General features: G+C 51.4%; 1 protein-coding gene across 3 annotated transcripts in view, besides 3 other annotated features; it reads right to left on the bottom strand.

Annotated features, from left to right (window-relative positions):
* Nucleotides 1-13,719, bottom strand: part of NTN1 (netrin 1) — a 240,914-nt gene that overhangs the window by 79,648 nt on the left and 147,547 nt on the right. For all 3 annotated transcript variants that reach the window (XM_047437096.1, NM_004822.3, XM_006721595.4), the window contains exon 3: nt 1,352-1,540. In XM_047437096.1, coding sequence (XP_047293052.1) covers nt 1,352-1,540 — 189 coding nt within the window. The remainder of the gene's footprint in view (nt 1-1,351; nt 1,541-13,719) is intronic.
* Nucleotides 7,694-8,193: an enhancer, noted in NCBI's record as "H3K4me1 hESC enhancer chr17:9059477-9059976 (GRCh37/hg19 assembly coordinates)". NCBI's record gives its function as "activates a minimal SCP1, AML or CMV promoter by ChIP-STARR-seq in naive H9 embryonic stem cells {active_cell/tissue: H9 hESC(naive)}" and the evidence as "EXISTENCE:reporter gene assay evidence [ECO:0000049][PMID:30033119]".
* Nucleotides 8,194-8,695: an enhancer, noted in NCBI's record as "H3K4me1 hESC enhancer chr17:9058975-9059476 (GRCh37/hg19 assembly coordinates)". NCBI's record gives its function as "activates a minimal SCP1, AML or CMV promoter by ChIP-STARR-seq in primed H9 embryonic stem cells {active_cell/tissue: H9 hESC(primed)}" and the evidence as "EXISTENCE:reporter gene assay evidence [ECO:0000049][PMID:30033119]".
* Nucleotides 12,784-13,627: an enhancer, noted in NCBI's record as "NANOG-H3K27ac-H3K4me1 hESC enhancer chr17:9054043-9054886 (GRCh37/hg19 assembly coordinates)". NCBI's record gives its function as "activates a minimal SCP1, AML or CMV promoter by ChIP-STARR-seq in naive and primed H9 embryonic stem cells {active_cell/tissue: H9 hESC(naive and primed)}" and the evidence as "EXISTENCE:reporter gene assay evidence [ECO:0000049][PMID:30033119]".

Here is a 13,719-nt window from a genome sequence, read left to right as displayed (position 1 = left end):
CCCAGGCTCAAGCTATTCTCCTGCCTCAGCCTCCCAAGTAGCTGGGATTACAGGCAACCGCCACCACACCCAGTTAATTTTGCTATTTTTAGTGGAGATGGGGTTTCACCATGTTAGGCAGGCTGGTCTTGAAGTCCTGACCTAGGGTGATCCGCCCGTCTTGGCCTCCCAAAGTGCTGGAAGCCCCCTATTTTCATTTTGCACTGGGCCCTGCAAATTATGCAGTCAGTCCTGCACACAAGTGCCCAACATCTGGTGGACTTCCTGTTAAGAAGATGATACTTTTGCTTCATCCACACGCTGAGCAGTGGCCACAGAAGGGTTTCTCTCCTGCAGGACGCCACCTGGGCCTGTCTGCCGTGGCTTGGGACCCTGGTGTGTTCGGGTCTACACAAGTCCAGGTCAGGACCCCACCCATGCCGAGGTGTTGCCCATGAGCCCTCAGAGGTAAATATCTTCTTGGGAAGCCATGTTCATGGCAGGCCCTGACCTTAGGCCACAAGTTTTGCAGCAGGAAAGCCCTGGTTCCTGGAATTCCCAAAAGATTTTGTGGGGTGGGGGGGGCCCCGCTTCTCACCCTCCAGCATCACTGAATTCTCTGGCATTTCATCAACTTCTCTGAATCATCTGACCATTGCTTCATTTTTGTTGGTACGAGAAAAACAAACAGCAGAAAGTTAAAACATTAGTGCTTGCTTCAGTGGACGAAAATAGTCTCCCGTCTCCTTTTAATTTTTTTTTTTGTCCTGAGAAGTAAAGCTATTTGCAGATGGATTAAATGTTCCTTCTGAGACCCTGCCCCTGAAACTGCCGACTCCGCTGTGACTGTACGTGTGTGTGTGTGTGTGTGTGTGTGTGTGTGTGTGTGTGTGTGTTTCGGGGGGGAGTGAGGGGCGGTGCGCACATATCCAAAGAAGTGAGTCTGCGTGCATTTGGTGAAAGAGAGTCCTTTGTCCCAACGGTAAGCCTGGCGAACATGACTCGCAGCCCTCTGGTATGCAGCACACCTGTGCAGAGGAGAAGCCCAGGAGGGGGAGGGGAGGGAGAGGTGTTGGCGGCCGCAGCCCTGCACCCTTGTAGGGGATCCCACCTTCTCCTTTCTTCTCCTTTGAGCCATGTCTCCATCACCCCTTTGTTTTGGCTTACACCTCCAAATACCAGGGAGGCGTGTGTGTGTGTGTGTGTGTGTGTGTGTGTGTGTGTGTCACAGAGAGAGAAAGAGAGAGAGATGACCTCAGACAACGCCAATTTGTACAGACTGGAAGAAAATAGAAAAGGAAGCGAGGAGGGAGCGGGAGGACTGATGTTCCCCGGGTCTCCCCAGCCCCCCGCCCCGCCACGTGTAGCCCACCTTTGCAGGCCTTCCGGTGGGTGATGGGCTTGCCCATGTCGCGGTAGTAGCCCTCCTTGCAGTAATGGCAGTGGCGGCCGGCGGTGTTGTGGCGACAGTTGAGGCAGACACCTCCGCTCTTGCGCCCCGAAAGCTTGTAGAGCTCCATGTTGAAGCGGCAGCGCCGGGCATGCAGGTTGCAGTTACAGGCTGCAGGGGGAGACAGAGAGAGGTGTCAGCCGCAGGGGCGCGGGGAGGACAGGCACCCAAGAGCGTCAAAAGAAACCCCACCCCTCAACTCCTCCCTTCTCCACTAGCAGAGCCAGGCAGGCAGACTTGTGCTCCAGGAGCTCCTCCTCGGCTCCTCCTGTTTGTACCCGTAAGCATTTATTGGGCACGTAACAATACATGGCTAAGGTTCTCCCAAAATTCTTATGTTGAAGCCGTGACCCCCAGTACCTCAGAATGTGACCATATTTGGAGACAGAGTCTTAAAACAAGGCCCTCAGAGTGGGCCCTATGCCAGTATGACTGTGTCGTTGTAGGAAGAGGAGATGAGGACACAGAGAGACGCAGGGACGCATGTGCACGGAGGAGAGATCCCGTGAGGACGTTGCCAGAGGGCGGCCATCTGCAAGCCACGCAGAAGGGCCTCCAGAGCAACCAACCCTGCCAACACCTTGATCTTGGACTTCCAGGCTGCAGAACTGTGAGAAGTAAACGTCTAGCGTTTCAGCCCCCAGCCCGTGGCACTTTGTTGTAGCAGCTGAGCAAACTACTGAGGCCCCTGCTGCCAGCCTGGCCTCCCCTTCTCCCCCTCCCCCTCGTCCACCGAGGACTCTGGGGCCTGCACACCATCGTTCTTCCCACCTCAACCTGTCCAGCTTCCGGAGGCTGCCCAGCCCTGCTCTGGGGAGAGGACCCCCACATTGTCAGCTATGGCTCTGCTCCACCTGTTCCCTCCCCATGAGCATTGCTCAGGACTCAGCTCCCTTTCCCTGCCCACCTCCACACCCTCCCCATCTGTCTCCTTCACCACTCATCATCTCTGTGCTCCCAACTCCCAAATCAGTATTTCCAGCTTCAGGTCTGGGGTCTCCACTTGAACCCAGAGTCACCTGCCCGACATCATTCACTCCTTACCATCCTGCCCTCAGGTTCCCTGTGGCTTGAGCTGAGTCCCACAGGCTCCCCTCAGCATGATCAGCAGAAGCACAATTTCTTTTTGTTTGTTTGTTGTTTTTGAGACGGGAGTCTTTCTCTGTCGCCCAGGCTGGAGTGCAGTGGCCTGATCTCGGCTCACTGCAACCTCCGCCTCCCGGGTTCAAGCGATTCTCTTGCCTCACCCTCCTAAGTAGCTGGGATTACAGGTGCACACCACCACGCCAGGCTAATTTTTGTCTTTTTAGTAGAGATGGGGTTTCACCATGTTGGTCAGGCTGGTCTTGAACTCCTGACCTTGTGACCTTCCCACCTCAGCCTCCCAAAGTGCTGGGATGATAGCCGTGAGCCACCACACTCAGCCCAGAGCAGGATTTCTAAGCACCAATCTGAGGGCGCCCATCAGGATCAAGTCGAAAGCACTCAGCATGGCCTTCAGGGCTCCAAATAAGCTGGTCCTGTCTCGTCCTTCAGCCTCTCGCTCTTTATGCTCCAGTGATTCCAAACTTTGGTCTGTTTCTAGAGCCACGTGCAAGGACCCCTCGCCTGCCCCTCTGGGGCTCTGGACATGCTGTTCCCTTCCTCCCAGGACACTCCCGTTTTATCTGGCTGCCTCCTTCTCATCCCCCAGGTCTTGGTTCCAATGTTACTTCCCAGCCCCGCTCCACCCCACCAGCCTGGCGTGGGCACCCAGCATGGCCTCACACAGCTTTCCTTGTGCCACATCAGGATTGCCTGTCACCTGCCTTCTTCTTTAGGCTTCCAACCCCAGGGTTACTCCAGCACAGGTCTGGCCTCTTCTCGTTCACTCCACAACATGGTTTCACGCTCAGTGTGTTCTAAATCACGTTTTATGGAATTTCTAAAGAAATACATGCTGGGTTTGTTTTGTTTTGTTTTGTTCGAGGCAGGGTCTCACTCTGTTGCCCAGGCTGGAGTGCAATGGCACAGATCTTGGCTCACTGAGACCTCTGTCTCCTGGGCTTGTCAGATCCTCCCACCTCAGCCTCCCAAGTAGCTGGGACCACAGACATGTGCCACCATGCCCAGCGAATTTTTTGTATTTTTTTTTGTAGAAACAGGGTTTCACCATGTTGCCCAGGCTGGTCTCGAACTCCTGGGCTCAAGATATCTGCCTGTTTTGGTCTCCCAAAGTGCTGGGATTACAGGCGTGAGCCACCACACCCAACCTAAGAAATATATATTTAATTCATGCACTCAAAAAACAAAAGCAGGAAGAGAAAGGAACACACTCCTATTTCTACCAACCACAGTTGCTACAGAGATCTTTCCTTTCAGGCTTTCATTAACATTTGTTCAGTTGTGGAGCTATTTAATTCTTTCCTACAAACACGGATCATACTTTTATACATCTAGTTTTGTGGGGGTTTTTTTTCATAATAATGAACATTTTCTTGTGTCAAATACTGATCTTCACAATGTTTAAAAGATGTCCGGGCTGGGCATGGTGGCTCACAGCTATAATCCCAGCACTTTGAGAGGCCAAGGTGGGCAGATCTCTTGGAGCCAGGAGTTTGAGACCAGCCTGGCCAATATGGTGAAACCCCGTCTCTACTAAAAAATACAAAAATTAGTCAGGCATGGTGGTTTGCGCCTGTAATCCCAACAACTCGGAAGGCTGAGGCAGGAGAATCTCTTGAACCTGGGAGGTGGAGGTTGCCATGAGCCACCACTGTACTCCAGCCTGAGCCACAGAGCGAGACCCTATCTCACAAAAATTAAAAACTAAAAAATAAAATTCCTCTGGCACTGTGTTGCATGGCTATGCATAGTGGGCCTCTTGGAGTTGGAAGTGGAGGCATTTAAAAGAAGGACCTCCCAGGGTTGGGCACCTATAGGTCGTTTCCCATTTTTCACTATTATAAATGTCAACTACCTTTGAACATAAAGGTAACCACCTTGAACCACCTTTGAACATATATATTTGTGCTCTGCTCCAATGACTGTTGTAGTGCAAATTTCTCTAGATGGAATTACTGGGTTGAATTTTGAACCTACATGTTTTTATATTTTTATTTATATTTATTTATTTATTTATTTGAGATGGAGTCTCGTTCTGTAGCCCAGGCTGGAGTGCAGTGGCGTGATCTTGGCTCACTGCAACCTCCGCCTCCCAGGTTCACGCGATTCTCCTGCCTCAGCCTCCCGAGTAGCTGCTATTACAGGCGCCTGCCACCACACCCGGCTAATTTTTTGTATTTTTAGTAGAGACAGGGTTTCACTATGTTGGCCAGACTGGTCTCAAACTCCTGACCTCGTGATCCACCCACCTCGGTCTCCCAAAGTGCTGTGATTACAGACATGAGCCACTGCGCCCAGCCCTTCTACATGTTTTTAACATTGGCACCAAATTGCCAAACTGCCCTCAAGAAAGGCTGTACTGGCTTATACACCTACCAGCAGGATATGAGAGCTCCTATTTCACCACGTGCTTGAAAATAATAATATGCATTTGGTATCGGCATTCTTTTTAAAAAATATTGGCCACTCTGTCTGAGAGAAAACACACACACACAGACGATTTTAATTTGCATGTCTTTGATTACTAGGAAGGTTGGGCATTTCCCCATGTATTGTTTTTCTATTTATATTTCTTTTTTGTGCATTGCCTGTTCATGCCATTTGCCCAGTTTTCAAATAAGGTGGACTTTTTTCATGCTGTCTAGTGATCAGGAGGATTAAACATTGTTTGTCTTTTCTGCCATATAAGCTGTAAATATTTTTAAGTTTCTCATTCACATGTTACTTTAATTTGTGATCTTTAGAAAAACATGTGCCTCTTTAATTTTTCTCTCTGATGTTATGACAAGCTTCTTTAAGTGCTCTTCCTAGAGTCACTGCCAAGTCACTCACCCATTAGTCATTTCATTTACAAATAGAGGTGGACAGGGCCCTAGAAAAAGCAGTGTGGGATGCAGGAGAAAAGACAGCTCCTGCCCTGAAGTCTGAAAGCAGCCAGAAGCCAAATTAGACCAGGGGATGAGTCCCAGAACCTTGCTAACTGTCCTCCGGCAAGTGTTCCCAGGGCTGAGTTCAACCAAGTGCAAAGAAAGAGGCTGCAGCTGCACCTTGCCCTCCTGCAGACGACTGTCACGCCTGCACACACTCACTCTCTTTGGACTCACTCTGCCAGACAAGGGTGACAGGGGCCTGCTCAGAGAGGTGAAATGACCAACCAGCCCAGGACCACAGAGCCAGTAAATGGGGGGGCCCAGGATGGGAACCCTACCCTTCTGGCTCCTGGTCCACTGGCTCAGAGGAAAAGACCCCTATCACTGGAAGTAACAGCTGGCCTAGACTACAGTCAGAATCTACATCTTTCTTACAAGCACAGAAATCACAGGAACTGGAACACCTGCCTGGGGACAGGGATCTGGAAGGATCACCCAGGCCTCACTTCCTCAGGCCTCCCTTGTACCAGGAAAGGCCTGATAACAGCATCATCCTGTCCTTCTTGGAGGCAAATGTCCTTCTCCTGCATTTTCCAGAGGGGCCTGCCCTAACCTCTGAGCCCCTTCTGGGAGCTCAGCCTCCACTTTTCCCACCCCAGGAGGAAGCTGGGGGCTGGTAGCTCTCTTCCATATGCACCTTACGCCAACAAAAGGTTCTTCCTAAACAACTGGTCACACAAAAGAAAACTCTGAGGCAAACATCAAAAGGCAGGGCTCCCTTCCCTCCCCTGCTTCTTGGAGCTGTCAGGAGACATCAAGTGGCAAATGCCCATGCTCAGACTTCTGCAAAGTATTTTACAGCTTGTTTTCTTTTCTCTTTGTTTTATTTTCTCTGCACAGATGGAAAAATGCGTTGGGCAAAGCAGCTCACATCTGGATCCCTCGGCTCCACACAGAGGCGTCACCCAACTCCCGGCCTGTCCCTAGCCCCTTCCTCAGAGAGACACCTTAATCCTTTGCGCCTTCCTGTTTATCTCCTGCATCTCTTGGAGGCAAAAATATTGGGTATTAGTTTCATTATCAGATTTCAAGACAGGGAGGAAAGGGCAGCTTTGTGAGAACAGAGAGGTCAGCCCAGAGAAAAGGGGGTTGGGGGTGGCAGAGACACTCTTGAGGGACCAGCAGGGGCAAGGACAGAAGCACTGCCTAGGCCATTGAGGCTCTGCCTCTTATCCAGGGGTACCCCAGACACCCACAGACACCCCAAGCTTTGTGCCCCTCTTTGGCTATCATGTGAGGATCACCAAGGATGCATCACATGTGGCTGCATTTCAGACCCAGGGCATAACGAGGGTAAGGAAGATAGGAGGGCGAGAGGCCCCACTTTCCAACCAGAAACCCAGTAGGAAAAGAGGCCCAAGAGGTGGGTTCCTATTTTCTTCCCCCATCAAAAAGTCCTCTAAGTCCTATTTCAACACATGCCTGTGGCCACTCCTTACCTCTCAACATTCCTGCCTTTCTGCCCCTCTCCCTCTCCCACCAACCTGGAACTGCTCAACCCCTTCCCACTCCCCAGGTCAGGTCAGTTCAGTGCATACTCACAGTGTTCTAGCTATGTTCCCAGCTCTGTGCTACAGGCTATGTGAGATACACAGATGGACAATGCACTCTCAACTATCCATGGGTTCCCCATCTAATGGAGGGAACAAACTCATGTCAGAAAATTCTCTGATCAAGTGGGACTAATCTCTCATTAACTGTGTTGGTTTGCTGAGGATAGGGACAGCGTTTGCTCTTATATCCTCCAGCCCACAGAAAGCCTTCATACATTTTTGTTGTGCAAATGAGAGACAGAAAGCAAACAAGAGAGAAGATAGATGGATGGATGAATGAATGGAAGGATGAAAAGGTGGATGGATGGACGGATGGATAGATGGAGAGAGGGATGGACGGATGGATGGGGTTGATAGGTGGGTGGAGGGAGGGAGGGAGGGAGGGATGCATGGATGGATGGATGGACGCATGCATGGATGGATGGATGGATGGATAGGTAGGTGGGCAGGTAGACAGGCAAGCGGGTATGTATAGAGACAGTTAGATAGTTAGACAGGTAGGGCAGATAGAGGATTTACTGCCTGAACCACTCCCTGACAAGGCATAGCCTTGCGACATCTGATTGTTGCTTTCAACTGCTTTAACTCATCAATTTAACTTCTGTCTGCTCAAGTAGACTGCTGTGCTTTAGAGAGAAAAACCCACATCTAAGTCCCCTGGACTCTTCCTGGAACTCTAAGTAGTGCCCTTGCACACAGAGACTGAATCTGCATCCATTGTTTTTGATGAATTTACCAAACCATAAGTGTTGGCCCACCCCAAAAGACCCTGGCGAACTTACTCTCAATCCCATCAGGACTACCCCAGGTCCAGAAAGCATCCAGCAGACATTGGTGAGCAGTTTCCAGACCATGTCTCTCAGGGACTCTGGTCCTGGCTCCCCCAGACTTCACATGGCCCAGGGGCTTCTCACTGGAGCAGGAAGGCCATTTGGTGATGGGTCTCCTCAGAGGCTCTAGTCTGGGGCCCAGTACCCCACAGCAGCCCTCCAGCACACAGGATCACCATGTCTTCTCCTTCCAGAGCAGTTCTTTTGAGAAGACTGACCATGTTATCTCTGTAGCATAACGGCTGAATTCTCCAAAAAAAAAAAAAAACCAACTCACGCAGGCACCATCGCAGGCTGCAGGCCCCAGCCATTGGCTGCCTGCGCACTGGGACAGGTACTGCTCTCAGATCTGTCATGATTGTTGACACATTTCCACATGTCCAGGCCACATGGGCAGGTTGGGACATGGCAAAAATTTGCAGGTCGGTGGGGGGCGCTTCTTCCCTCACCAGCTCCTCTGCTAGGTAAGTCCATGGCTCCTGGGTAAGGACCAGGAGACCTACTCAGCATGTACAACTCACAAATTCCCTGAGGGAGAGGGGGCAGTGTTCTCAACCGGTGGCAATTTTGTCCCCCAGTGGACATCTGGCAGTGTCTACAGACATTTTTGGTTATCATGACTGGGGAGGGAGGGGCTGTTTGCATCCAGGGATAGAAACCAGAGAGGTCGCTAAACTTCCTACAATGCACAGGACAGTTCCCCCAAACAGAGCCTGCCAAATGTCCATAGTGCTGAGTTTGAGAATTCCTGGGTTAGGGAGATCATGACGCCCACCGCCTCCAGGGTATGTAAATGTTTAATCCCCTTTGCCTAAAATGCTGTTCTCTAAGTGCAAACTCTGAGGCTTAGAAAGCTGCTCCAGGAGCGCCAGGCGCAGTGGCTCACGCCTGTAATCCCAGCACTTTGGGAGGCCGAGACGGGCGGATCACCTGAAGTCAGGAGTTTGAAACCAGCCTGACCAACATGGAGAAACCCCGTCTCTACTAAAAAATACAAAATTAGTGGGCATGGTGGCACATGCCTGTAATCCCAGCTACTCGGGAGGATGAGGCAGGAGAATCGCTTGAACCCGGGAGGCAAAGGTTGCGGTGAGCTGAGATCACGCCATTGCACTCCAGCCTGGGCGACAAGAGCAAAACTCGTCTCAAAAAAAAAAAAACAAAAAAGAAAAAGAAAGCTGCTCCAGGAGGTGACTGTCATTAACTCCTTCAACAAAGCTTTAACTGACGCCTTTAAAAGGGCCAGGTGCTGGTGTGACAGCGGCAGGCAAGATGGAGTCCTGTCCCAGGGTCCTTCCTGGCTCAGGGGAAGATGGACAGTGGTCTAGTAATTGCACTGTTTTCAACGGTGACCAGAGCTGTCAAGACTAACACTCAAGGAGGCCGTTCTTCTGGACCTCTCTGGAACAACGGGGAGAGGACAGGGCCTGAGAAGAGAGTCGGAGCACAGACGGGATATTCTGCCAGCGCTGCCCCAACTGTAACGTGCATATGGTCACCTGGGGATCCTGTGCAAATGCAGGCTCTGATGGGGAGGGATGGAACTGGAACTCAATGGAAAAGAACCCAGTTGGGACATGACCCACTGTGTGGACAGAGAGCCTTTGCAAGGAGGTAAAGGGAGGTTCAACCGCAGGGGCCTGTGATGGGGCAGTGGGCAGATGCCTGGTTTCAAGAGAAATTTCTCCTTAAATGACTGGTTCAGAATCATAAAAATACTTGAGAGTTATTTTTAAGAGTTTGAGGTAGTCTGTATTTCCTTTATTACTTTGCTGCTCCATTTGGTATGCTATTTATTTAGAAATTGTTCAGCTCCTGTTTATAAATTTTAGGTATTCCGCCTCCAGTGTGTTTTTCTGAGCCCCCTTTTCAGCGTCTCCTGAAATGGCTGGGTGGAGCAACTCCAGCTGCCCACACACCTAACTCCCGCCCACACCTGGGGATCATTCTGAGCCAACCTCTCAAAGGGCTCCTTTTGGGAAAGGGGCCGAGGCAGGACTGGCCCAAGAATTTCTGGGACTCACAGCCTTTTGTGTCTACAGGTGAGCTGGGCATAAGAGAAACGATCATACATATACATACATTTATAAAACAATCCAAGCCCAGACTTAGGTTTTACTTCACTATTAGCAAATCTGGTAGGGCATGAATTTATCAAAGCATTCAACAAGTATTTACTGAGCCCCTACCTGGTGCATTCTGGGCACCATGCAAGGTGCTGGGGACGTCACAGTGAGCAGGACAATCATGGTCCCTGCCCTGGCAGGGTCGGTGGAAATACCTGGGCATGCTAAGGTCTGGTTAATGCTGCTGCCGCTGTGGTCTCACTCCCAGGTCCACCACTATCCCCCAAACATAGGCTTAAGGCTCGTCACTGGAGACATCAGCCAGCCAGATAAAATGCAGCAGTGACCAGCCAGAGGGAGTCACGAGACTGGATGACCCCTACGGGGACCGTGAGGACATCACACAGGAGTAGTTGGTTCCACTCAAGGCTCTGGGGTTTGCACTCATTGAGGATGCCTCGTTTCAACCATTTTAAAAACCATTGACAAACAGTCTCCTAGATATGGCCAGGAGAACTGGACAACTCACTTGTCTGAAAGAAAAGAGTCAACAGGTAGAGTCAGTCCACGCAGGGCATGAGAGCCAGGCGAGGTAAGGATGTCCCATGGGACTCTCTGGAGTTCCAGAGACCATGTGAGGGAAGATGTGGCACTTCGAGATGCCACAAGGACACCAAAACAGGACCCGCTTCTACCTGACTGCCCGTTCGTTGCTTCATTCAACAAACATGAACGGAGACCTTGGAAGTGCCCAGCTCTGAGTGGGAAGCACGCCTGCCATAGGGCTGACGTTGCTGCATTCTGCTCTCTCAACAGACCGTGGCCCCCTCTTCCTTCTCTTGAGCTGTGGTTTTTAATTCAAGCAGCTACCAAACAAACCCCTCTCAAAGCCCCAACCTGTGATGATGCTCCAGCTTGGGTGCACAGATTCACCAGCATTCCCTCCTAAGACACACAGAGCTGAGTCAACCCCCAGAGTTTCTTTTTATTTTGAGACAGAGTCTTGTTCTGTTGCCCAGGCTGGAGTGCAGTGGCAGGATCTCAGCTCACCGCAAGCTCTGCCTCCCAGGTTCAAGCGATTCTCCTGCCTCAGGCTCCCAAGTAGCTGGGATTACAGGCACCCGCCACCACGCCCTGCTAATGTTTTTGTATTTTTAATAGAGACGGGGTTTCACCATGTTGCCCAGAATGATCTCAAACTCCTGACCTTAGGTGATCTGCCCACCTAACTGCAACCTCTGCCTCCCGGGTTCAAGCAATTCTCCTGCCTCAGCCTCCCGAGTAGCTGGGATTACAGGTGCGTGCCACCACACCTGGCTCATTTTTGTATTTTTAGTAAAGACAGGGTTTCACCATGTGGGCCAGGCTGGTCTCGAACTCCTGATCTCAGATGATCCACCCTCCTAGGCCTCCCAAAGTGCTTGGATTACAGGCATGAAGCACCGCACCTGGCCGCCCCCTGGAGTGTCACTATTACTAACCAAGATCAAACACAATGGCTACAACCTCACAAGCAAGCAAGAGGAAAGAGAGCTGGGGCCTGATGTGGGAAGCCTGGACTCTAGCTCCGGCTCCGCGACTCCCCCAGGTGTGTGACCTGGAAAGCCCACTTGGCCCCTCTGAACCCATTCTCCCATCTGAAAAATGAAGACATCTGCGTCTGATGATTTCTAAGTTATTTTCTGGCCCTAAAAGTCTAACTCATGATACCCAAACTCCTGCAGGGTAGGGGACAGATCAGCAGACTCACATCAGCATGGAGGCCTTTGGGAGGGGACCCTGGAATTCAGAAGTGGGGTGCTCCAGGCTAGGTAATGACGCTGTGAAGAAGCCTCAGGGTGGAAGCCAGTGACAGGGCTGTGGAAAGGGCTCTAAGACCACCTCCAGGCAGCGGGTGGATCACAGCTGGGAATTGCCATGGCCCTGGGGTGGTGGCGGGATGACCCTGCAGGCTTCCCCCTTGCTGAAAGTGGAGGTATGGGAGCCTTCCCAGGGGAACCATCAGAGGGGCGTGGCCAACAGGACTGATGACCACCTGGGTCTTTCAGAGAGAATGGGTGTGCAGGATCCTCTCCGGGGAACTGGGCAGAGGAAACTATTTTGGGGGAGAAAAAAGGAGTTTACCTTTGGGCATGCGGTGGCACAGCAGGGGGATTTAGCAGAGGGCAGTGAGCAATAGTGTGTCCAGAGTTGGTTCCTGCCAGTGGGTTCCCGGTCTCGCTCACTTCAAGAATGAAGCCGTGGACCTTGGCGGTGAGTGTTACAGCTCTTAAAGGTGGCACGGACCCAAAGAGTGAGCGGCAGCAAGATTTATTGTGAAGCGCAAAAGAACAAAACTTCCACAGCGTGGAAGGTGACCCGAGTGGATTGCCACTCATGGCCCGCGGGGGGCCAGCTTTTATTCCCTTATTTGTCCCTGCCCATGTTCCATTTCTGTCCTATCAGAGTGCCCTTTTTTCAATCCTCCCCGCGATTGGCTACTTTTAGACTCGGGCTGATTGATGCGTTTTACAGAGTGCTGATTGGTGCATTTTACAGAGTGCTGATTGGTGTGTTTTACAGAGCGCTGATTGGTGCATTTTACAATCCTCTTGCTAGCTACAGAGTGCTGATTGGTGTGTTTTACAATCCTCTTGTAAGACAGACAATTTTCCCAATTCCCCAGCAGACCCAGGAAGTCCAGCTGGCTTCACCTCTCCACAGGGACCCTCCGTGGTCAGCCTTAGAGGCCCCTGAAGCCAAGTTCTCCCAGAGAGGAGCCCATACACCTCTCTTAAGTCTCTCTTTCAGAACCAGGCCTGCAGGGCCACTCCATTTAGTTTTTAGGGTCCAATTTGAAAACAGAATTTCTGTCCACCCTCCCTTCCCCCTCCCCACCACCACCTGTGCTTTATCTCTGATACCAGAAATGCCGTGGAAGAGGGGTGGATCAAGGTGGTAGGAAAAATGAAAGAAAGTGGGAAGTGTTTTGGAACCTCAGTGCCCGGAGTCACAGTCAGAGTGGGACGGGAGGCTGGAGTTCCCGGCTTGCCAAAGACAGGCTTTAGATGGTTTCTGATAAAGTCCCCGGAGATAAGTGGCCTGTGTTTGTCGAGGGCTTAGGGAGCTTTAGCCAAGTCTGAACACAAAGGGGCCTTCTGTCAACAGTCCTTCAGGCCACTAATAGGGCTGAATAAACACTACAGTAACAAGTTCTTCACACCTGTGGGGCTTGGGAAAGGCCCCAGCCCCTTTGTCAAGATGTCAGACAAAAGGGCTGCTAGGAGTTGGCCTCCCACCCCGCAGCCAGACCCTCTTAGGCTTCTGGGGGAAGGGACAGGGGTGGGGGGCAGATAAGTCTTAAGTCTGGTGAGTCCTGTCTCCTTCTTCAAGCAGAAATGTCCAGGGGGGACCAACTGATGGACGTGGTCCCTGCAAAGAGGCTGGCGGCAAACAGACCGGAGAGGGCATTTCGTGGGGTTTGGGATCAGGACCACGGGCAGGATTAAGGATACCGGGGTCACGGGCTCGGCTCTCCAAAAAGCACAGCCCAGGCCCTGTGGTTCTTTCTCCCGCTGTGCCGGGCACCCGGCCCCTCCCCAGTGGACAGCGGGGGCCATCCCCCAAATCTGCTTGACCTCGCCGTCATTTTTTCCACTGACTTTTTTTTTTTCTCTGTAAACATCTTAGCCTTTTCTCTTCCCTGCCCTTTTTTGGCTGCTATGCCTCCCCCTAAGGCTTTGAAACAATCCCCTCCTAACGAACATGTCCCAGGCCCTTGCTGCAAAAGAATCACTCAGGGTTCCTGCTGCACAAACATCCTTCTCT

Source organism: Homo sapiens, chromosome 17, assembly GCF_000001405.40.
Source record: "Homo sapiens chromosome 17, GRCh38.p14 Primary Assembly".
Taxonomy (NCBI): domain Eukaryota; kingdom Metazoa; phylum Chordata; class Mammalia; order Primates; family Hominidae; genus Homo; species Homo sapiens.
The sequence above is the reverse complement of the archived record's forward strand: the minus strand, read 5'-3'. Positions and strand labels throughout refer to the sequence as shown.